At 39.7% G+C, this 24,414-nt stretch overlaps 1 long non-coding RNA gene across 21 annotated transcripts in view, besides 1 other annotated feature; it reads left to right on the forward strand.

Annotated features, from left to right (window-relative positions):
- Window positions 1-24,414, forward strand: part of LINC01811 (long intergenic non-protein coding RNA 1811) — a 276,733-nt gene that overhangs the window by 8,334 nt on the left and 243,985 nt on the right. For 17 of the 21 annotated variants that reach the window (NR_183677.1, NR_183681.1, NR_183678.1 and 14 more), the window contains exon 2: window positions 3,148-3,223. The exons of the other annotated variants lie outside the window; for them this stretch is intronic. This is a non-coding gene — a long non-coding RNA (long intergenic non-protein coding RNA 1811). The remainder of the gene's footprint in view (window positions 1-3,147; window positions 3,224-24,414) is intronic. 21 annotated transcript variants of the gene reach the window in all.
- Window positions 23,639-24,140: an enhancer, noted in NCBI's record as "NANOG hESC enhancer chr3:34232828-34233329 (GRCh37/hg19 assembly coordinates)". NCBI's record gives its function as "activates a minimal SCP1, AML or CMV promoter by ChIP-STARR-seq in naive H9 embryonic stem cells {active_cell/tissue: H9 hESC(naive)}" and the evidence as "EXISTENCE:reporter gene assay evidence [ECO:0000049][PMID:30033119]".

Consider the following 24,414-nt stretch of genomic DNA (forward strand, 5'->3'; position numbering starts at 1 on the left):
GGATATGGATCACTTTGCGTTTATCCTACTTGGAGTTCATCAAGCTTCTTAGATATGTAGATAAATGTTTTCAGCAAATTTGGGAAGTTTCAATCATTTTTTCACATATTCTTTCTATCCCTTTTTCTCTCAACTTTCCATCTGGAACTCCTATTATGCATGTATTAGAACACTTAATGATGTTCCACAGACCTCAGAGGTTCTGTTCATTTTTCTTCATTCTTTTTTCTTTCTGTTTCTCATACTAGATAATCTCAATTGACGTATTTTCAATGTTTCTGAATCTTTCCTATGACAATTTTAATCTGTTGTTGGGCCTTTCTAGTGAATTTTTCATTTTAGTTATGGCACTTTTTCAACTCCAGAATACCTACTTGGTTTTTAGAACACTTTCTGTTTATTGGTATTTTCTGTTTGGTTGGACATCATTCTCATCCTTTGCTTTAGTTTTTAGACATATTTTTCTTTAGATCTTTGAACATAGTTATAATGGTTGCATTGAAAATCTTTGCCTCTTAAACCAACTTTTGGATTTTTTTTACAGGCAGTTTCTGTTGCACACTTTTTCCTTATGTGTAAGTCACACTTTCCTGTTTCTTTGCATGTCTCATAATTTTTTGTCAAAATGGGACATTTTAGATAAAATATTGTAGTAGTTTTGGATGCTGATTCCTTTACCCTCTGTGGGACTTTTTGTTGTTGTTTGGTTGTGTATTTGATTAGGGACTTGACTGGACTGTTTTAGGGAAGTCTATTTCCCCACAGTGTGAAGCCTTATCTTTGTTAATGAAGGGTTTGGGCAAATATATTCATTCATTAGAATATCACTGTCTTATTACTCATAACAGTTTACAGATGCTGGATTAGGAGTGTTGTGGAAATGTTGATTATGTTATATGTAAATATCTTAGAGAAGGAATGAATAATCAAGAAAAATAACACTCTGGCTAAAAACACAAAATATAAGAAAAGCGTTTCTAAATAAAAACCCTTCTTGAGGTAGGGGGCCCTGTATATGAGGGATTAGGTATTCTCATGATTAAAAGGCATGAGGAAAAGGGGTCCCTAGTGAGAGCTTTGGACTGTCACTACATCATGATTACACTGAATTGAGTGAATAAATGCTGTAGGCATCTCCATGGAATGCTTTCACACTAAAGTTCTATAAGAAATACTTTACTAGCTACTTAACTTCCCATGAGATATTCAGCGCTGTTCCACCACAGACATAGGCTCTTCTACTACTAGGGCAGTGGTTCTGAACTGGAGGAAATGCTGTCCTCCAGGGGACATTTGACAGTCTGGAAACATTTTTGATTGTCACAACTAGAGAGGGTGCTATTCGCATCTAGTTGTAGAAATCAAGGAAGCTGCTAAATATCCTACAATGCACAGGACAGCTCTCTACACCAAAAGAATTATCAACTCAAAGTGTCATTTGCGTCTAGGTTGAGAAAAGTTGCTTTAAGCTAAACAAGCTGTGTTAGTCTGTTTGAGCTGCTATAACCAAATACCATAGACTGGGTAGCTTATAAACACAGAAATTTATTTCTCACAGTTCTGGAAGCTGGAAAGTCTAAGATCAAACCACCAGCAGGTTCAGTGGTCTGGTGAGGGCTGCTGTCTGCCTCCAAGATGGTGTTTTGTATGCTGCATCCTCCAAAAGCAGGAGCACTGTGTCCTTACATAACAGAAGGTGGAAGGACAAAAGGAATGAACTCTCTCTGTCAGGCCTTTTTATAAAAACATCTAACCCCATTCCTGAGGGAGGGCTCTCATGGCTTCTTAAAGCCCCCACTGCTTAATACTATCACACTTGGTGATAGCATTAAGGAACTTCTGAGTTTTGGAGGGGACACACCACAGCAGCATAATCCCATTTCCTAAAACTTTGTTTCTTCTCTCTGTTGTCTCATATTAGTCAATAAAATTAAGAAAGTATTTCCTTTGTACTGCTAAATGTATCTTTACTTATATTATATGGTTTGTATTTTAGTAATTTCCTTAAAAAGAGCTCATGGGAATAATATTCCTGTCATTTCATCATCTCTTTTTTGAATTTATGCATTTCTGCATTGTGGTTCCCATTCAAGGAGGTATTTATTTTATTTTATTTTATTTTATTTTATTTTATTTTATTTTATTTTATTTTATTATTTTATTTTATTTTGAGACGGAGTCTCGCTCTGTTGCACAGGCTGGAGTGCAGTGGCATGATCTCGGCTCACTGCAGGCTCCGCCTCCCGGGTTAACGCCATTCTCCTGCCTCAGCCTCCAGAGTAGCTGGGACTACAGGCGCCCACCATCACGCCTGGCTAAATTTTTTTTTATATTTTTAGTAGAGACGGGGTTTCACCATGTTAGCCAGGGTGGTCTCGATCTCCTGACCTCGTGATCTGCCCGCCTTGGCCTACCAATTTATTAATATTGAATATAAATCCTAGTAAAATGCTTGATCACAATTTTGATCAGCCCCCTGGCACCATTTTTCGGTAAGAGTTTTTGTCTGTTGCTACTCATTCCTCTTTAGTAAGTTTGTGTCAGTATTTTACCTATATCTTTTTATTATTCATATTTAATCACTTTTATTTTTCTGCATGAGCTCTTTATAAGTTGTTTCTTGATGATGGTGGAAAGGAGGTAAAAGATGCCTAGACTAGTCTTCCAGGCTGCACAATCCAAGGGCTTTTTTGTCTTTGCTACTACAGAAAATCTACTTCCTAAAAATATATCTCATCTGTGTGATTTTTAAAAGTTAAATTATATATTTTTTTGTGTAGTCTCATTTCCTCTGCCATCCCAAATCAAATTGCGTGCTAAAGGGCTTTTTCCACCAGCCTTGTCTACCCCAGTTCCTCCATTCATTGTAACAAACAAGAGACATAGCTTACTTCAGGATGAGTTCCTCAGCTTTAGAAAATGTACTTTCTACTGGCATTTTCTATGATCTTCCACTACTGGGCCTTTTACCACACCTCATGCCTTTTCTCATTACTTCTTATTGTGCAGCGTCTGCTTTGGCTTAGGTGCTTTTGGGAACTCTCACATAAATTTTGGAGTTTACATATTATATGTTTCCTAATATCACTGAAAATGGAGTTTTGAGATATCACACATTCTCATTTTTGCTTTTGTATGATTTTTCAGAAGGAGAAGAAGTATTTACATTAGAAGTCTGATTCACAGGTCGGGGCAAAGTGAAAAACATCTGCACTTTTAAAAGGTATCTTTTAACTTACACACTTATGAACAATTTTAAGAATGGGAGAAGTGATAGGAAACCTTATGTAATTTTCATCTCCAGTTTTATGTTTTTAATTTTGGCTTCTTTTTCCCACACCCAATGTTCGGGAGTCTGTTGGACAACTAGGGATGTGTTTCTAAATCTCTTTAAGACAGAGGTATTGCTCAAAGTGTGCAGTCACATTAGGGACAATGAAGCAGGTGTTTTGACCTTCTATGTGGCATGCTGTTTGCTTATGGTCTGGTCTACTACAGTATCACACCCTCTCAATGTCCCCACCTGCTTATACACAGATATAGCTGTAGAATGCTGGGAAATAACTGTGGGTAACTTACTGGCCTTTTCATAACAACAAATCGTGATGTAGAATCAGTGAGCATTGCAGAAAATGGCTGTGTTACAACACAGAAAGCAGTTTTTATTTTTTGGTAATCTGGAAAGTATAACCATTCCATGAGATTTAATATTGTCACTCACATGGCATTATACCATCACTGTAAACATCTTTTAATGTCAAGGATGACATTATCTATGTATTCCTTTTATTATTATCTTCCAGAGTCACTTGGCTTCCAGCTTCATCCATGTCCCTGCAAAGGACATGATCTCATTACTTTTTATGACTGCTTAGCAACACTCTACTACATTTTCTGGGTTTTTGTCTGTTACATTGAAAGCAGGAATGGTTGGGGGATGGGTTGAGTATGGAGGGAATGAATATGAAAAAATATTTAAAAATGGAGAGCACTTTACAACTTATTAAATTCTGTGCTGTTGGTAATACAAAGATGAATAAATCATCTGCCTCACACTCAAATGGAGAGCAGCAGACTAGCATTTATTAAACACGATGTGGCACAAATCGTGTTTGGTATTTTATTTATTTATTTTTAAATTTTTATTTTACTTTAAGTTCCAAGATACATGTGCAGAACATGCAGGTTTGTTACATAGGTATACGTGTGCCATGGTGGTTTGCTGCATCTATCAACCTGTTACGTAGGTTTTAAGCCTCGCATGCATTAACTATTTGTCCTGGTGCTTTCCTTCGCCTTAGCTCCCTACCCATGACAGGCCACGGTGTGTGTTGTTCCCCTCCCTGTTTCCATGTGTTCCCATTGTTCAACTCCCACTTATGAGTGAGAACACGTGGTGTTTGGTTTGGCTTCCAGCTTCATCCATGTCCCTGCAAACGACATGATCTCATTACTTTTTATGACTGCATAGTATTCCATGGTGTATAGATACCATATTATCTTTATCCAGTCTATCATTGATGGGCATTTGGGTTGGTTCCATGTATTTGCTATTGTAAATAGTGCTGCAGTAAACATACATGTGCAGGTATCTTTATGGTAGGATGATTTATATTCCTTTGGGTATAAACCCAGTAATGGGATTGCTGGGTCAAATGGTATTTCTGCTTCTAGATCCTTGGGAAATCACCACACTGTCTCCCACGGTGTTTAACGAATTTACATTCCCACCAACAGTGTGAAAGTATTCCTATTTCTCCACAGCCTCACCAGCATCTGTTGTTTCTTGACTTTTTAATAATTGCCATTCTGACTGGCATGAGATGGTATCTCATTGTGGTTTTGATTTGCATTTCTCTAATGAACAGTGATGTTGAGCTTTTTTTCATATGTTTGTTGGTGCATAAATGTCTTCTTTTGAGAAGTTCCTGTTCATATTCTTTGCCCACTTTTTGATGGGTTTTTTTGTTTTTTTTTTTTTCTTGCAAATTTGTTTAAGTTCCTTGTAGATTCTGGATATTAGACCTTTGTCAGATGGGTAGGTTGCAAAAATTTTCTCCCATTCTGTAGGTTGCCTGTTCACTCTACTGATAAGTTTCTTTTGCTGTGCAGAAGCTCTTTAGTTTAATTAGATCCCTTTTGTCAATTTTAGCTTTTGTTGCAATTGCTTTTGGCATTTTCATCATGAAATCTTTGCCTATTCTTATGTACTGAATGATATTGCCTAGATTTTATTCCAGGGTTTTTACAGTTTTGGGTTTTACATGTATGTCTTTAATCCATTTTGAGTTATTTTTTGTATAAGGTGTAAGGAAGGGGTCCAGTTTCAGTTTTCTGCCTATGGCTAGCCTGTTTTCCCAGCACCATTTATTATATAGGGAATCCTTTCCCCATTGCTTGTTTTGTCAGGTTTGTCGAAAATCAGATGGTTTTATCAAGATTTAGAGCTCCTTTTAGCAGTTCTTGTAGTGCTGGCTTTGTGGTAGTGAATTCTCACAGCATTTGTCTGAAAAACACTGTATCTTTTCCTTCATTATGAAGCTTAGTTTCACTGGATACAAAATTATTGGCTGATAATTATTTCATTTAAGGAGGCTACAGATAAAACCTCAATACCTTCTAGCTTATAGGGTTTCTGCTGAGAAATATGCTCTTAATCTGATAGGTTTTCCTTCATAGGTTACCTGATGCTTTTGCCTCACAGTCCTTCAGATTCTTTCCTTCGTTTTGACATTATATATTCTGATCTAAAGTGCCTAGGTGATGATCTTTTTGCTATGAATTTCCCAGGTGTTCTTTGAGCTTCCTGTAGTTGGATGTTTAGATCTCTAGCAAGGCCAGGGAGGTTTTCCTTGATTATTCCCTCAGGTATGTTTTCCAAACTTTTAGGTTTCTCTTCTTCCTCAGGAACACCAATTAATCTTTAGGTTTGGTCATTTAACATAATCTCAAACTTCTTGGAGGCTTTGTTCTTTTTTTTTTTTTTTTGATTCTTTTTTCTTTGTCTTTCTTGGATTGCATTAATTCAAAAGCCTTGTCTTCGAGCTCTGAAGTTCTTCTACTTGTTCGATTCTATTGTTGAGACTTTGTATTGTTGAGTGTATTTTGCATTTCTCTAAGTGTGTTCTTCATTTCTGGAAGTTGTAATTGTTTTTTATTTATGATGTCTGTTTCTCTGGAGGTTTTTCTGTTCATGTCTTGTATCATTTTTTTTTTTTATTTCTTTAAGTTGGTATTTGCCTTTCTCTGGTACCTCCTTGAGTAGCTTAATAATCAGCCTTCTGAATTATTTTTCTGGCAATTGAGAGATTTCTTCTTGGTTTGGATTCATTGCTGGTGGGCTAGTGTGATCTTTTGGGGATGTTGAAGAACTTTGTTTTGTCATATTACCAGAATTGTTTTTCTGGTTCCTGCTCATTTGGGCAGACTATGTCAGAGGGAATATCTGGGGCTCAAGGACTGCTGTTCAGATTCTTTTGTCCCACGGGGTGCTCACTTGATGTGATGCTCTCCCCGTTTCCCTGGGGTGGGAGCTTCCTAAGAGCTGAACTGCAGTGTTTGTTATTTCTCTTCTGGGTCTAGCCACCCAGTGGAGCTACTGGGATCCAGGCTGGCACTGGGGAGCATTTGCAAAGTGTCCTATGATGTGGTCTGTCTTCAGGTCTTTCAGCTGTGGGTACCAGCTCCTGCGCCAGTGGAGGTAGTGGCAGGGTGAAGTGGACTCTGTGAGAGTCCTTGGTTGTAGTTTTGTTTAGTGTGTTGGTTTTATGTTGGTTGGTCTCCACCTGGGAGGTGACTTTCAAGGGAGCATCAGCAGTGGTAGTATAGGGGGGATACAAACTTGCCCTAGGGTTGCCTGGATAAGTATTTGGGTTTCTCAGGTGGTAGATTCGGCCATGGAACTCCCAAGAGATTATGTCCTTTGTCTCAGGCTACCAGGGCAGGTAGAGAAGACCATCAAGTGGGGGCAGGATTAGGCATGTCTGAGCTCAGACTCTCCTTGGGAGGGGCTTGTCGTGGTCACTCTAGGGGATAGGGGTGTGGTTCTTAGGCCAAAGGAGTTATGTTTCCAGGGGAGATTATGGCTGCCTCTGCTGTGTCATATAGGACACCAGGGAAGTGGGGGAAAGCCAGCAGTGACAGGCCTCACCCAGCTTCCAAGCAGCCAGAAAGACCAGTCTCACTCCCACTGTGCCCCCCACAGCACTGAGTTTGTTTCCAGGCAGCTGGTGAGCAGGGCTGAGAACTTGCCCCAGGCTACAAGCCTCCCTGCTGAGAAAGCAAGCAGGGCTTCATGTCTCCCCACCTGCTGTGGCTTCTGTGCTTGTAGCTGCAGTCCCTGTTCATCCCCTCCCCTGGATTCTGTCCAGGAAACTTTGCATTTGGTTGATATTGTTACAAAGTTCAGCTGGAAGTTTTCTTCTCCCTGTGGTCTTTCTTCAATTCCACTGGCAGCTCTCCTCAAGGACTCCTGTAAGACAAAGTCATAAATGGCATACCTGGGGACCAAGAGTGCCCACAGTCTCTTCCCGCTGCTTCCTCTACCCCATATTTTGCTTGGCTCTCTAAATTCATCTCAGCTTCAGGTAAGGTTAAATCCTTCTTCTGTGATCTAGACCTTCAGGTTCCCCCGTGAGGATGTGTGTTTGGGGGTGGACTTCCCCCATTACACACTTTGGACACTCACAGTTTTTTGGCTGTCTCATGGAGTCTGCAGCCTGTTATTTGAAATTCTGTCTGCATCTAGAGACTGGAGAATGGGTTGGAAAGAGAGTAGGGAATGAGAAATTGGTTCAAAATCTTTTGGGGTGCTTGATACCAGCAAGATTAAAAACTAATAACCAAACACAAATGTTATTGAAAATGTGCTGTTTCTCACTCAGAAAAATATGTATGTAAGCAGATCTTTTACCTAATCTTTAAGGAAAATATTGTAAAAGTTCTATGCTTCTTGGTCCCCAGTGGCTGGTCTCACACTTTCTGGCTTATCATAGTTATGAGGAGTAGGATACTTTCTCTGCCACTTTGGTGGAGAATTAAACACTTATCACTGGTCAGTTTTTCCCTACCACCTCCATTGTCATGGCCTCACTGAGTCAAAGTTGTCTTACCACTTTACCCTCATGGGCTTCTGTGTTGATTCCACTGTACTATGCATTTGCTTTCAGTGCAGGCTATTTGAAGAACTTTGCCATTTCCTGTCACATGAAGGTAATATGGCTGTGTAATTAAAAAGTTTAGCAACACTGACATTTCTGTGTTTGCACTAGAATTATCTTGATATTACCAGGGACTGAAGAACGCTGCCACCTGCTAGGAACATATGCATATGTTTGAGCAAAGGTTAATTAGTTTATTCAGAAAAGTGATTCAGGTAAGAGCTTAAGAGCAACTTGGCACATTCTAATGCAACAGAGAGGTATGTTATAAGAAGAACTAGGTCAGTTTTCGGCAAGACAATTTGAAAGTTTCCTTTTTTGGAAGTGGGTGGAATAGCAGTTTGATTGATTATTTCAACCTTAAATATAAGACAAATTATCTGTAGCTTGATTAAATGTTCCTCCTTACAGGTCTGTGTCCAGGTATTAATTCTGCATTAAACTAGTTGTACCTATTGTAGGGGAGCAAATGTCTCCTTATCTTAATCTCCAAGCATTTGTCTTTACATAGCCAAATGATGTACACAAAGATGGCAGCCAATGTGTATATATGTATATAATAACTTGGATTGTATCCATTGAGTATAAATATAGGTTGATAAGTTTGATACTATTTAAATATACCCACTCTGCACATCAATTCTCCATTCTCTGAAGATTTTGCTTTAGTTAAATATGATGGGCTTTAGTTAAATTTTAGAGTCTTCTAAATTCCCGAATCTTTTGGAAAAATGTTATTTTCAACTATATATTTGTTGATAATTTTTTATCTTCGATTTACAAAGAGCAGTAACACACCATTGAAAACTGCTCTCTGGACAAAAAATACATGTTTCTCAAATCAAGATGGTAGCCTGACCTGAAGGAGCCCTTTTACCTCCCAGACAAACAGAGTAGTGAAACTTGTCTTTCTCTTATTCAACTTGCCTTACTTTAAGAAAGGACTTGTTAGTTTAAAAATAGTCATCTTTTATTCCCTGCCTGTCAGAGCCTTTCTGCCTTCTCTCAGAATCCAGCATTTACTGATGTTCTTTGATTGACATACTCCTTAGTACTAAAAGGGAACAGAGAATGGGAAAATGTTCAGTTTTATTGACAGGTGCTGAGACCTTGTCAGGGACAATTGCTTAGCAACCTCTCTGGTGCCACTTTTGGGAAAGGGGAAATTAAAGGACAGAATTACATATAAATGAAAGGGAAGCATTTATGAAAAAGGCCAATCATCATAAAACACTAAGTATTTTTTTTTTTCAACTAGGTCTTTGAGTTAGCAATGTAACTTACAAAATCTGCACAAATTATCTTTTTCTTTTCTTGGTTTGTTGGATTCTTGAAGAGTTGAGATAATTTCAGGTTTTTGCCAAATGCTCACAGATTTTGGTAAGTGAAAGAAACTGTATTCAGAGAAAGAATGTCTTAGTTCCTCTGTCAACTCTGACTTGTCCTGGTTATTTACTCTGTGCAGGCCATTTAACCTTCCTGAGCTTCATGGATAAATTGGGAAAACCACCTTTGCTGAGATTAAATAGGTTTACGGTTCATGTGAAAAGGGCTTGAAAATTGTTAAGTGCTTGTGAAATAAGGAATTCCTATAATTTTGCTATATTTGGACATAGTCTGTGCACTAATATGATGCTCGTGTAAGTTGGACATAAATGTTGTTTTATTAGTATAGAAAGAATACAAGCTTACATTTGAAAGTATTTTTCAAAGTACCTTTGCAAATGTTATACCATCTGATCCTCATAGTTCTGTGATAAAGACTATTTTCCCTAATTTCCAGTTAATAACTATTAACCCTAGGTCTAGATTATGTGATTTGCACACAACAACACTGAGGAGTGATTAGGAGCTTAATCAGGTCAGCTGGTCCCAAGCCTCTGACATTTCCACTCTTTTATTAGTTTCTGTTGCTACCTTAATTATTTTTGGAGTGAGATGATGTAAACTAGCTCTTTCTGAAGTATCTGTGGTGAATAACCTGTTTTTAAAATTGTTCTAATCTGTCACAGATGTATACTTTCGTAAAATACAATAAAAGTGAATTATTAGAATCAGACCTGTCAGAACTGTGTCAGTTTCTTGGTTTGGACAATGTACTATGGTTATGTAAGATACTCTCATTGAGAAAAGCTGGGTGAAGGGAATATAGGAGCTCTCTGTACTATTTTTACAACTTCATGTGAGTTTTAACTTATTTCAAAAAAGTTATTAAGTATAAATTATTAGAAAATAAAAATAAAATTCAAAATACAGTTTCTACATTTTTCATGATTAGAGAGTTAACAGACATAAAATTACTCAAATTTCCATAAAAGTTTCTAAATGCTTGGTTTCAATTTCTATATTTATTTTGTGGGAGACCAGTAACAAACCCTCCACTGACCACACCGGCATGAATATTAATGAAAAGAAATTTCTTTTCTGTTCAAATAAGAAGTCCCCGAAGGAACTGTAACTTCTCAGCCTTAATTTTCAAGTCCAAGAAAGAGCATCTGACTGTTCCAAAGTTTGTCCAGGTCCAATCAGCTTTGGCAGAGTGAAGAAGGTAGAATCATGTTGGGGCCCAGTAAAAATAAGCATTAGTACTCAGAGAAGCAAGGATGAAGAGAAATCTCAAGAAATGACTAATAAAGGATTCGATATGTGACTGTGATTCAGCATTTGTTAGGGGAGAAATGATAAGTCTGACTTTAATGGAAATGACTGTAGATTACTGCCCCACACAGCCAATGACTAAACTAATATGAGGCGGAGAAGATGAACTATAGGTATTCAGAGAAGAGAACATTTCTACTTGGGGAAATTACAGAAAGTTTTTTGGAGTGAGTTGTACTTGGGTAGCCTAAATAGCTCTTGAAGTAAGTGTGGAATGTGACAAGATGTAAGTGGGGGAAGTCATTGCTGGCTTTTGAGCAAACTGTTATTTCAGGAAAATCAATCATTTAGTGGTGAGGAGGATGGATTAGTGGTAGGGGATTGTGGAGCCAGGGTCAGGGAGGCTAACTGTGAAGCTGGTTCATGAGAAGGAGTACAAACATGTGAAATAGTGGTTGTGTTTGAAAAAGGAAATGCACGTGAGAGAGATTTTAGAGGTAAAATAGAGTATGGCGACTGATTCAATGTGGGACATTACTAGTAAGAGACAGAAAAAGAAAAACATTTGAGAGGAATCAGAATTAGTTCAGTTTCAGTTATGCCTTTTGAGGGACTGGTGTTGGTTTAGGTGGTTATTTCCTCAGGCAATTGGAAAAATGGATGTAAAAATCAGGTGTGTGCATTCACCAACTTGGAACCTTGAATAATGTCTCTCAAAAAAGATATCCACAAGTCTTAACCCCCAGTAACTGTGAATGTGAATGTGACTGTATTTAGAAATAGAGTCCTTGGGCTGGGCGCGGTGGCTCATGCTTGTAATCCCAGCACTTTGGGAGGCTGAGGCGGGCAGATCATGAGGTCAGGAGATGGAGACCATCCTGGCTAACACGGTAAAACCCCGTCTCTACTTAAAATACAAAAAAAAGAAAAAAAAATTAGCCAGTCATGGTGGCAGGCACCTGTAGTCCCAGCTACTTGGGAGGCTGAGGCAGGAGAATGGCGTGAACCCAGGATGGGAGCTTGCAGTGAGCCTAGATTGCGCCACTGCCCTACAGCCTGGGCAACAGAGTGAGACTCCATCTCAAAAAAAAAAAAAAAAAAGAAAGAAAGAAAGAAAGAAAGAAATAGGGTCCATGAAGATAGAATTAAGTTAAGGTCTTCAGATGTAAACATCCTAGATTTAGGGTGGACCCTAAGCCAATGACCAGTATCCTTATAAGAGAAAGGAGAGGGAGATTTGCCATGTGAAGACAGAGGCAGAGATTGGAGTGATACTGCTACCAGCCAAGGAATGCCAGGAACCACCAGAAGCTAGAACAGGCAAGAAAAGATGCTGCCCAAGAGCCTTTGGAGGGAGCATGGTCCTACTGACACTTTGATTTCAATCTTCTGGCCTTCTGAAATGTGAGAGAATAGCTATCTGTTATTTTAAGCCATCCAGTTTGTGGTAATTTGTACAGCAGCCCTAGGCAATTAAATCAGTATCTCTTTTGGGAGCTCAGTCTGTACTTTGTGAATTATGTTGTTCTTGTGCTGTAAAGTGAGAGAAAATGAAGCTATTCATTCATCTTTATTAGCTTCTTATGTTCTGGTGTTTTCAAAGGTGGCTTTTCTTCCAAGTAAGCAGAGGTGAAAATGAAGCAGTTCAGAAGAATGAAGTTTAAGATACCTTAGCAAGTGTGAAAGTGATTTAATTACAGATTGAATCATCGCCTCCCATTTAATTCTTTCATTCCTTTTCCCCACTTTCTTCCTCTTCCTCCTCCTTTTCCTCCTCCTCCTTCTTCATCTATCTGTATTGGAATTTATCTATCATTAAAAGAAAACATATTAAACTTATTTTTTAGTCTTAAATTTGTTTTTCCATTTCTAACTTCCAATCAGAACTCAACACCTTAGAATAACCAGTGTAACCTTATTCAAAGGTAACCAGAGCCCAAACATATTTAGCCAGTCTGACTCTGCTTACGTATGTGGTTTTTCTCTTGGGCCTTTCAAAGTATTGAAAAATAACTTGCAGACCCTTCCAATCTCATTGCTACTGTTAGTATTTGGTAAGATGTTACTGTCTTGGAGCAGGGATTCGTTCTTTTTAGCCCACTGCCCATCACAGACTCCAGTACAGACTAGGTTTCCACATATTTGTTGATCTAGATTGTTGAGTCAAGGATTGAATTTATGGCCTAATACTGAAGAGTTCTTAAAGTGAATTATCTTCATACGACTGGAAGCATTTAAGTGTCTCAGGCTTTCATGAACTTAGGAGGCCTCCATGTGTTTGCATATCAATAAGTGTGCTCTCCATTGTAAGTATCAAAGAACCCAAGTCAACCTGCTTAAACAAAGGGAATTTATTGGCTTGTGCAATAAGTACCAACTTTAGGTGAGGGTTGATCAAGCAGCTCAATGACCTCTTGGTCTGACTGGTAAGGATACCTGGGTAACAGAGCCCCTTTTGATTTGAAAATCTTTAGTTCAGAGAGTCACTGGACCAGGCTATATTAGCTTGGGAAGGCTGAGAATGAAAAATAGGGCTATGTTTATGTCCAAGTATTTTGTACTGGGCTGGCCACCAACTTTAGTTTAATCATAAATTGTATAGTTCCAAAAGTAATGGTGTGCAACTGACCCAAATGAGGGCACCCCAATATTTATTCAGGCTACCTAACATGCAGGGCAAGTCCACCCTTATTAATGGAGGAGGGCAGTTGGGTGTCCAGAAAGTCTAATGTGATCTTCCTCTCTCAAATTTATCATATGCAACTGTGGGTCTATTGTTGAGAATTTTTGAAGCTTATAATTCCTTTGGAGAGTAGGGTTGACCTCTCTGCTGTATATTTTTACCACTCTGACTTCCTTCTGTACTTTTTCAATTAGAAAACCTTGTCTGATTTGCCCAAACCAAGGTCAGTGTTTGTTCTTGAATTAATCTGCATTCTCCAGAGAAACAGAACCAATAGAATGTATATGTATGTATATATCCCTATATGTCTCTATGTATCTAGGTATCTATCTATGTATCCATCTATCTGTCTAGATTTATTACAAAGAATTGCTTACATGATTATGGAGGCTGAGAAGTCCAGACACAAGAGGCTGATGGTATACTTAAATTCTGAGACTAAAGGCCTGAGAACCAGGAAAGCTGATGGTGTAAATTCCATTTCAAGTCTGAGTCTGAAAACCAGGAGAGTCAATGGTGTAAGTTCCAGTCTGAGTCCATGTCTGGAGGCAGTAGAAGACCGATGTCCCAGCTTGAAGACAGTCAGACAGAGAGAGGAAAAATTCTTTCTTATGCATCCTTTTATTTTATTTAAGTTTTCAACAGGTTGGATGAAGGCTCAGTCTCCTGATTCAAATGTTACTATCATCCAGAAACAGACATATTCAGAAATAACATTTAACCAAATATCTGGGCATCCTTGTGGCCTGGTCAACTTGACATATAAAATTAACTATCACATACTTACCCTATTATTGACATTTGCCAATTCAGTGGTTACCTATAGCTAACTGCTTTAGACCAGTCCTAGACCATCCTTGAAGCTGGAGCTGGCGTCAGTCCCTGCCTAAACCACATAGCAGTTCTACAGTGGACCAGGGCTGAAATGGATGCTAAGGGAGGCCATCACAATGTCTACTCGTTTTCATTATCTTTTCAACTTCTAATGGATATTTCCTTTGCTGTGGCAGAGATCATTATTGTCTTCCTTTAGCAAATGAGAAAACCGTGAGATCACACTCTTACATTTCAAATTATTTATCAGTCTAAAAGAGACTATTTGTTTATATAGAGAGTATTTGGAGGTGTGAGAAATGTAACTGAGGCCAGCATGCTGTAAGAAGGTGGTTTGATCTGTGCTTCATGGAAACTCAGTGCTTCCCCCAGAGCTGAGATGGACAAGGAGTGGGTGAGGCTATGAATTCCCACCTTACTTCAGTCACAGTCCTTCTTTCTTAGATGTTTCATATATGTTGCAGTTATGCATGCAGGATTCCATTTAAATCTAAGCTGTCACTGCACAGGTTGAAAACCACTACTCCATTCTAGCTCTATGATCTTGAAAACAAAAATCCCTTCCTTTTTTTAGTGCTCAGTTCCCTTTACCTGTAAAATGAATGTGTTGAACTAGGAGTTTTTGAAGCTTCCTTCCATCTTTGACAGTTCATGATTTTGTGACTTTTACCATTGGCCAAGGTGGAACTTATTAATTTCATGAAAACTGACTAAATGACTGTCTCAGAAGTTATTAATTCAGCACAGCTTCCTCATCTTAGTGAGTTTTCAGCTGGCTAATGCCACATAACAGTCAGAAAATGCCAACATTGCTGGTGTGGGATGGAGTTAACAGTGTGAGATTTGCTAAGTGTTTCTGCGCAATCAGTGTGAAAGCAATCACATCTCCAGAGTGAGAAAGGTCAGTGCCCTGTAGCTGCCAAACCTCACCACACTAAGGGGACATGAAGGGGACTGCCACCTGCAGAACACAAATCAGGCTAAAAAATGAATACCCTTTGCAGTTGCAGTCTAATAGCACCGACTGTCAAATGATATTACTTTGGGAGATTGTTAAGCCCCCTTCTCAGTGCACAGCAGTGTATAAATCCCCTCATCTCATTTGATTAATCTGAGAGACTATAGAATATGTTATTAGGCATAGAAAACATGACTGCAATGTGACTAGTATTACTGAGCATGAAAATTCCTTTAAGTCCTGATTTTTTTTCTAGTTCCACATTGTTTGAAAGTGGGGGAACATTGATCTCAGTGAATGGGTATCCTATATAAATTAATGTTAGTGAGTACATACATGAGTGAAAAATATGATTTGTTTATACAGTGACTCAGAACCCCCCCTTCTACAGCATCAGAACTCTTTCTTTTGTTCTCTTTTACAACCTGTAACTTGGCAGGAAGGAGACTATAATACAAGCCGTGTTTATCTCTAGCTGGTAAGATTACAGTGATTTTTAACATTCTTTCTGTTATTTCTTATACTTTTTTTATAGTGGGCACATATTATAATACGAATTACCTTTGCTCATTTAAAAGTAATCCTTTTCCCAGAAAGGTCCCTGAGAATACTGTCTTTTTCTCCCATCCTAAAATGGAGGAATGTACCTGAAATGCCATGTGAAATAGATTAACTGAGCCCCGCCTAGGAAGCATGCCGCTTCTTCTTTTTCAAGACCTGCAGCCGCTGTGGCCTGACAAGCAGTAAGAAATGTGATAATAAAGACGATGAGCCACTCCAGGGCTGGATTTCATTTCTAGCTTAATTAAATCCTAGAAGCACACCTGACCTCTAGCTTTGAAGAGCTGCCGCCAAAGCCAGGTGCCCTCATCAGCTCGGGCTCACCCTGCAGTGATTGTGGGAAGCCAGCCTGAAAGGAGAGGGTAGAGGGAGGCAGAAGCCAATGGAGATGAAACAGTGGAGTCAGGAAGCAATATTTCAGAGACAGCCATTTTATCTGGTGGGCGATCTCTTTGCCCTTCTGCTTAAAAGGTAAACAGTGACGCTAACCTACAAATTGAAACTCCTCCAATGGCACCCCACTGCCCTGCCACCTGTCCCCTTCCACCACCTCCTCTCCCAGCTCCCTGCCCCCACCAGTTGTGGTAAATTGGGTACAAAATGCACTTGGTTGGCGCAAGTCCTGACTGGCCCATCAGTATGCATAGGCTGATTGGTGCCTCTTGCATTTACAAACTCCTAGTTGCTCTGGTCCCTCAGCCGCAGCTGACACCTGATGCTGCTACCTGGGGTCTCTTTGTTTCATATCCCAGAGGCCAGAAATGCTCTTGAAATGTAGATAAAGGAGAATAAAAGTCTTTGCCATGATTTATTGAGCCCAGAATTGTACAAGGAACTTAAAACTACATCACCTTGTTTTCACAGCCATTTGTGATGTATTAACAGGGTTTTACAGGTGAGGAAATGGAGCTCCAGAAGAGCTTCTTAGAAAAATGTCTTATATTCAAGATCTTGACACAGGGATCTGGGTTTATGGGATTTTTTTGAGGGGGTGCTATCAAGAGAAACCTGCAGGGAGGCACGGAGTGGGAGAGAAAATGGGAAGGGTGAGCAGGGATTTGGTCTCTGATATGGTTTTGCTGTGTCCCCATCCAAATCTCATCTTGAATTGTAATCCCCATCAACCCCACGTGTCAGGGGCAGGAGCAGGTGGAGGTAGTCGGATCATGGGAGTGGTTTCTCCCATCCTGTTCTCGTGATAGTTAGTGAGTCTCATGAGATCTGTTGGTTTTATAAGCATCTGGCATTTCCCCTGCTTGCACTCACTCTGTCGTGCCACCCTGTGAGGAAGATGCCTGCTTCTTCTTCACCTTCTGCCATGACTGTAAGTTTCCTGAGGCTTCCTCAGCAATGTGAAACTGTGAGTCAATTAAACCTCTTTTATTTATAAGTTACCCAGTCTCGGGTATTTCTTCATAGCAGTGTGAGAACAGACTAATACAGTCTCAGTACCCATTGGAATGCCAACTAACCCAGACTTGGGGGTGCAGGGAAGGTTTCCATCTGAGAAGGGGTCAACTAGGATTGAGAGTGTATCACTGAGCAGAAAGTACCATATTTTCCCCCACTACCACCTGCCAGCATCTTCCTTGTCTTTCAAGAATCATCTCATATTTTATCTCCTATGAAGTCTCATGACCCCAACCTGTGATGTCCTTTCCTCTTTGGTTTTTGAGCAGTTTATACCTTCACAAGGGTTGCTATAATTTTTAGAAAATAAGAGCATATCTATCTTTCTGACTCAAGTGTGGGCTTCTTGAGAGAAGAAATCTTGCCTTCTTTTGTGTATAATACCCCTGCATTGTACACAATGCCTTGTCCATAGTAGGCTACAAACTAACATCTGTTGAGTTCAGTACTCCTTGTATTTGGGGAGCCTTTCCTGGTGTTAATACTTTTGTCAAACTTTCATTCAGCATTAATACAATGTCTATTATTTGTGAATAGCTCAAGGGGCCCTTTGTTGGTGGCTGCCAGTTTCACTTCCTGACCACCTGTCCAAGAGTCTCAGAGTCCATGAAACAGCAACAGGAAGGTGAACATCAAGGTAATTCTAGCAGAGGTTTAGTTAATGGACCAGGAAGAAAGGCAGCTACATGGGGGAAGGGGAGGGGATGTAGAAGAAACAGGTTTATTAGAATCAGGAGGCTTGAAGCACCGCTCATTAGTCAGTTTGTGCATCTATAAAATTACACAAAGGTGCTGCCTGGCTGAACTTAAGGGGCTATTGTTGAGGGTCAAAGGAGACAAGATAGGTTAACTCTACAGACTGTGCAGATAAAATTAATACATGTTTATAATCAATGCTGGCTCAGAGGCAAGGATGGTAGGCAAAATGGCTTGGAATCCCTCCCTGATATTCAGGTGGCATATTTTACCTTCACCTGTGTGTGCACTCAGAATTCAGTGCCTCAGGGGAAAAAGAGAGAAAAAGGAAAGTCAGTGTTCTTTCTCTTTGCCTCCTGACTTTAGGTATCTATATATGCTGTAATTAGGGACCCAGATTACACTGCAATTTCAGAAAGTTTCCTGTTTAATTTTACAAAGACATATACACTTTACAATGCCTGACACCTGCTTAAGTAGGCAAATAATTGTTTCGACACTGTGACAGTTGTAGAAAATATGTTTTAAAAATTTCTGAAACCTGCCAATGGGATAATTAGGATCTAATTCTCATTTGCCAGTGCAATGAGCTCTCCAGGCCAAATGACTCCCTGATGGTGTGCCAGACACCTTTCCTGGTCCCCATGTGCTGGTGGAGATTTAGTTCCAAATAATTGTTCCATTCCTCATAGATGACTGATTTTCGACCTTTAATGATAATACCAATTATGTATTGAGTGTTTCACTTGTGGATTTCTTTGGATGGGGATTTTACTACAACTCATTGCTTGAAAAATCACTTTAATTTAATGGTAGGGCTATTCAGGACTTCACGATCCAGAGTGACCCTGTGGCTGGCCCAAGGCTGTAGGGCATAGGGCACAGAACTGGCACTCCTGTTCTGGGAAAAGGTGGCCAGGGAAGGAGGGATGGACTAAGGCACTGAGTCCAATGAAGCAGATAAAGAGCAAATCCAGGACATGAGGCAAAGGATCAGTAATAGAAGTGGCCAGAAGCACCATCTTGTTTCTTTGGGTCAGATTTAGTAGAGATCCTGGAAATGCTGGGGGTAGAGAAGGTGGTGTGGTTTCTTTCTTGGACTGCCAGGGCTGCACTGCTGAGCCATAAACTTGGGAGCTGTTGAGATGCTAAGGGCAGGCAGACTTCCAAGACCCTAGACTTGCTTAGGGTCTCCAAAGAGCATCTATTATATTTCTGTCATCTTGTGGATGAGGGAACTGAGGCCCAGATTAGTGAAGTGGCCTGTTCCAGGTCACACAGCTCAAAGATGTTCAGTTCAGGCAAAATTTACTCTGCTGGATCCTCCAGGGGACATAGAAAAATGCTCCAGTGTCTAGCCAGCTGCCAAAAACCTTTTTTCACATCTTACTCGGACTTGTGATTAGGTGAATATTGAAATGTCTTTAAGATCTATCATTTCTTTTTCAAGGGGTATGTCTTAAATCTTGTCTACCTGTGTGGACTAAATTGGTCATTGACACAGAAGTTTGGATTTTATTCTTGTCCATTTTACAGGTGAGGAAACAGATCCCAAGAGGTGAAGTGGCCTACTTAATGTCACATGGCTAGTGACTGAATCAGTGCAATAGAGAACTAAGAATTGACCCATGCATGTATGATTATGCTGGACTTTCTAGGTACACAGAGAGAGTTAATCAAGGCACTTGTAAGTCACTTATGGAGGCAAGGTTTTGTTAGCTACTCCTCTCCTATCAAGCAGAGGCTGGTGCCTAGGAAAGTGGGTAACAGAGACTGAGCCATCTCTTTCCTGGGTCCTGGGATTGTGCCATATGGAACAGGTAGACACAAGGGGAAACTGCTCTGAAGGTGAGAGAAACATCAGAATTAAGACAGAGAGTCATATATGAGAGCTCGTCCAAGGGGCAGAGGAAGAACAGAAGCCAGGTGAAGTGTTCATACACACAGAAATGTAAATACAAACAGTGCAGAAGCACATACAATGAAAATCAACTGTTCCTTGTCCCATCCCTTTTCTCCTCTGATCCACTTCCCACAGGTGAACCCTTTCTACTTTTAATTCTTCCAGTGGTTACCTGTGTAATTCTAAATAGTATGTGAAACCTGTTTCTCTAATTATTAATTTTAAACATCAGCTATAGACTCCTATTATGAGTGGCAAAGGACTGTCTTACTTGTCCCATTTTCTCTTCTCTTATCCTATTTTTTATAGTTATATTATTAGTCCAGGTTCTTCTATTGGTATGTTAATAATTTTAAAAAGTTACATCAAATGCTACATCTTGATCTGTCAAGTTGAAATAAATTTGACTTGCTGCTATGAGAGATGTTAGATGAAATTAGAAGCCCTGAATTTTCACTTTTCCCCCTACCAATTCTCACAATCTTCCAACAACATCATTAAACATCATCAAGGTTTATTACTTTTTCATTCTGTTTTATAAATATGCTTTGCCTGTAGCTTGGATTCAAAAATCAAGCACCAATGCGGGTCATTAGCAATATAATGATTATATATTATTCACCCCAAACCAAGTAGAGTGACTGGCCCTTCTGAGATGAGAAATAACACAGAGCATGTGCAACTTACACCACCACCTTCTCACCACCCAAGCTTATTTCAATTTGCTTCAGCACCTCAAAATCATGACACATGAATTTGCTTCATATTTGTAGCTTTTTGTATAGATTCCGTTTTTGTCTGAAGCTTCTAATTTTCATTTTTCTTACGGAAAAGAAACAAATTCTTTACCATTTTACAAAGATGTTCCTGCTTCATCACATTACCTATCAAATTGGAATCTACTTTTTTTCTTTTTCTTTTTTCTTTTGAGATGTAGTCTCACACTGTCACCAAGGCTGGAGTGCAATGGCGTGATGTCAGCTCACTGCAACCTCTGCCTCCCAGGTTCAAACAATTCTGCCTCAGCTTCCCCAGTAGCTGTGATTACAGGTGCCCACAACCATGCCCAGCTAATTTTTGTATTTTTAGTAGAGATGGGGTTTCACCATGTTGGTCAGGCTGATCTCGAACTCCTGACCTCGTGATCCACCCAACTCTGCCTCCCAAAGTGCTGGGATTACAGGCATGAGCCGCCGTGCCCCGCCCTGGAATCTACTTTTTAATGGAGACTTTTTTCTTGGAACTCTATCTAAATGTTCTTGTTGGGGCTTTTTATTTTTCACAGCCAATTGCATAGTTCTCTCTCTGGTTTTTATTTTAAATGTATTAGTAAATTTGGCTTATTGTTTTCATGGTTTCTATTTTGTGTTTTTCTTTTTTCTTTTGGTCTCAAGTTTATCCTCAAGTATTTTTTTTCTCAGTAAGGGTGTATAAGGAGATATCTCTGAGTCTTGCATGATTTAATATTTAGCCTTCACATTTGAGTAACAAGTTTTCGTGTAAGACTAGAGATTCAAGATTACTTTTCCTGCAAGCTTTGAAGCCATTTGCTGCAGGTTGAGTTCCCCAGAAGCAGAGATGGAGTTTAGGGAACAAAATCTTTATTAAGGATCAACACCTGCAAAAGGAAGGAGGCAACGGGAAGACTGGGCTAACTGAGCAGTTGAACGGAGACAGTCTTGAAAAAGCCTCAGCCGACATGGCAGGTGCCCTGGGTCATGGGTATTCATAATACTCATGGATATTATTTGCTGGGCAGAAATGGTTGAACGCTTATGCCCTCCCTCTGTCTGTCACCAGATACATGCTGCTCTGGGAAGGGAATGACCTTGCGTGAAGTGGCTGAAGCTGACCCTGAAGGAGCTGACAGCTGGAGGCTCTGTGCTCACTGTAGTCCGTTCATCTGGGTAGCAGGTCTTCCTTGAAAGGGGATCAAGGTAGCGCATCTCTATGTCTACCATAGCATTGATCCATGGTATTCTTATAAAAACCTGTTTAAAAAATTTTTCTCTTTCTCTGTAAGATTTAGGACACTTTCTTTTCCCTTGGCGGTAGGGTTGCTGTTATGGCATATTGATGTGGAGTACAAAAAGTGTCCTTCCTCTAGGTGGGTGCAGCCCTGCAGCCCTGCACCACAGAGCCTGGCTTGGTAAGTATGCGCTGGATTTGATCTCCACTGGCCCCTTCAGCTGGGTGCTGTTGTGCAGAGTAAAGCCTGTACATCCAGAGGCATAGCCCTGCTTGGTGTGCTCATGGTTTATGAGGATGTGTCCTTCTCATTTTGCTCAGCATTTGGTGGGCCTGGGCCTTTCATCCCAAGTGTTTTGGACCTTCGTTCTGGGAAATTTCCTTCTTTTCTTCTTGCTGTCTGTAAGTTCTGTGGGTCATAGCAGTTAACAGGTTTCACTTAAAGGCATGAGGCAGAGAGTATGTACACAAGTGAGGTTACTCTTTTAATGCAGCTTCCTCATCCTGTTTTGTCTGTCGATACGATTCCATATGCTTTCTCTCTTCCATTACTTTGCTAAACTTTCAGATCTGCTGGTGCTCCTTCTGTCCTCCCCATTGTCAGTGCTAATATGGATTTGTTCACTTTTTAACTTCTTTATTACAATCATTGGAATTTTAATGTGATTTTTTGATGGAATATTGTAGAGAGATAACTCCATGCATTCGATCTTCTATTCTGAACAGAATGCTTGTCTGGTATTCTGAATAACAGTTGACTGAAAACAGCAATGGCTTGAGGTTTTCTGTCAGTTGGGCTTTAAAAGTGGTGTTCTAACTGGAAAGAGGTGAGAGGAAATATATTTTGAAACTCTTTGCTTGTAGTAGACTCACTGTTTTTATTTAGGGTATATGATTACTTGACATGCATGACTTGAGGGATATTGGAGTCTATGGAAGGTCAAAAGTCACTCATCCCAAGGTGCCACTATTGGTTAGAAGAGATTTTACTGAGTCAAAAGTTGTTAGATGGATGCTGGCCTCCTTAAAGATGGCTCATCTATCTTGAGGAAGGGGTTAGGGAAGAATGGAAAGACAAGTAATTTTCTTCATTTTATTTAACTGTTTTCACAGAGACAACACGGTATAGACAATGAAATGTGTTTTATGCCAAATTTCTCATGTAACGCTCCCCAGTAAAGACACATACAAGTTATTTCTAGCAACATCCTCAAATTAGACCCTTAAAATGGTTCTTTCTCCCTTCCTTTCATAAAGGCACTTACTATGGACTGAATTGTGTTCCTGCAAAATTTATATGTTGAAGCCCTGACTGAATTGGAGATAGAGCCTTTACAGTGATAATTAAGATTAAATGAGGGCATAAGGTTGAGGCTTGAATCCATCAGGACTAGTGTCTTTATAAGAGGAGAAAGTCATGAGAAGAGAAAAGGCCAAATGAGGACACAGTGAGAAGGCAGCCATCTGCAATCCTAGGAGCAAGGCCTTGGGAGAACCCAAACTGCCAACACCTTGATCTTGGAATTCCAGACTCTAGAATTGTGAGCAAATAAACTCTGTTGTTTAACCACGGAGTCTGTAGCATTTTGTTATGACAGCCCTAGAAAACAAATACAATACCCTAAACTTTTCTGGGAGAAATTTTTGTGACACCCTTATTTGGAGTCAGTTTCAGCCAGATGCTGTTTCCCAATTATTTCTGACCTTTATGAAAGTCAAAGATGAAGTAATTTGGCAAAATACTTTGAAATAATTTTTCTGCTGGTATGTACTGAGTTTCAGAGAGAGAAAGAGAGATACCATGTATTGGATGTTGTTTTGTTTCTATGTCTGGGCTTGGTCCTCAGGGGATACAGAAGATCAATAAGACATGGTCTCTCTTCTTAAGGATTGTTTCCTATAGGTGGATCTGCATTAAATGACATGGATATGTCCACTTAGTGATAGACAGAGTGGACATGTCCATAGAGTGGATGGCTTTTGTAAAGTCTAAGAAAAAAATCCATAGAGATGGGAAATATCAGCTCAGTTGAATGACAAGCAGGTTGAATTGTTTCCAAAGGACTGAAATGTTCACTAAATTTTTACTCTGTATTTTCAAGAGAATGGGACTCACAAGATGTTCAGCATTGCTTCCTAATTGTCCGTGATCTTTCATGCTGGGCTTTCTTTGTTGCTGTTTACTGCTTAGCCTGGACAATGCTCCTAGTTCCATCTTTTACCTACTTCTATACTGAATGAAGCCTTTAGTGGACTCTAGTTACTATCTGAGTGTCACTTCCTACTATACCTGACCTTAAAAGCAAGTTATGCATCCTCTCTGTGTTTAAGTGAAGATTATTATCGTTCCTGTTTAACACACTTAAAGTACTCAGCTGACTTTAGGATATGTATTAAATATTCATTAGGTGTCAGTTGTGTCTGGAAGGTACTTTCCCACCTTCAAGGAGCAACTCAAGCTTTTTGTCCCCCTGCTCAGCTATATTTGGCATTTCTCCTTCTGGGCTCCTAGAGCACTTTCATGTATCTCTTATTTCACATCTCATGTTATAGAGATTTTTAAAATTATCTGTCACATACCCTGGTCTCTGAAATCAAGAGAATATTATATTTTATTATAATCTCAGTTTATTATAAAGGTGCC

This window comes from Homo sapiens, chromosome 3 (assembly GCF_000001405.40).
Source record: "Homo sapiens chromosome 3, GRCh38.p14 Primary Assembly".
Taxonomy (NCBI): Eukaryota; Metazoa; Chordata; class Mammalia; order Primates; family Hominidae; genus Homo; species Homo sapiens.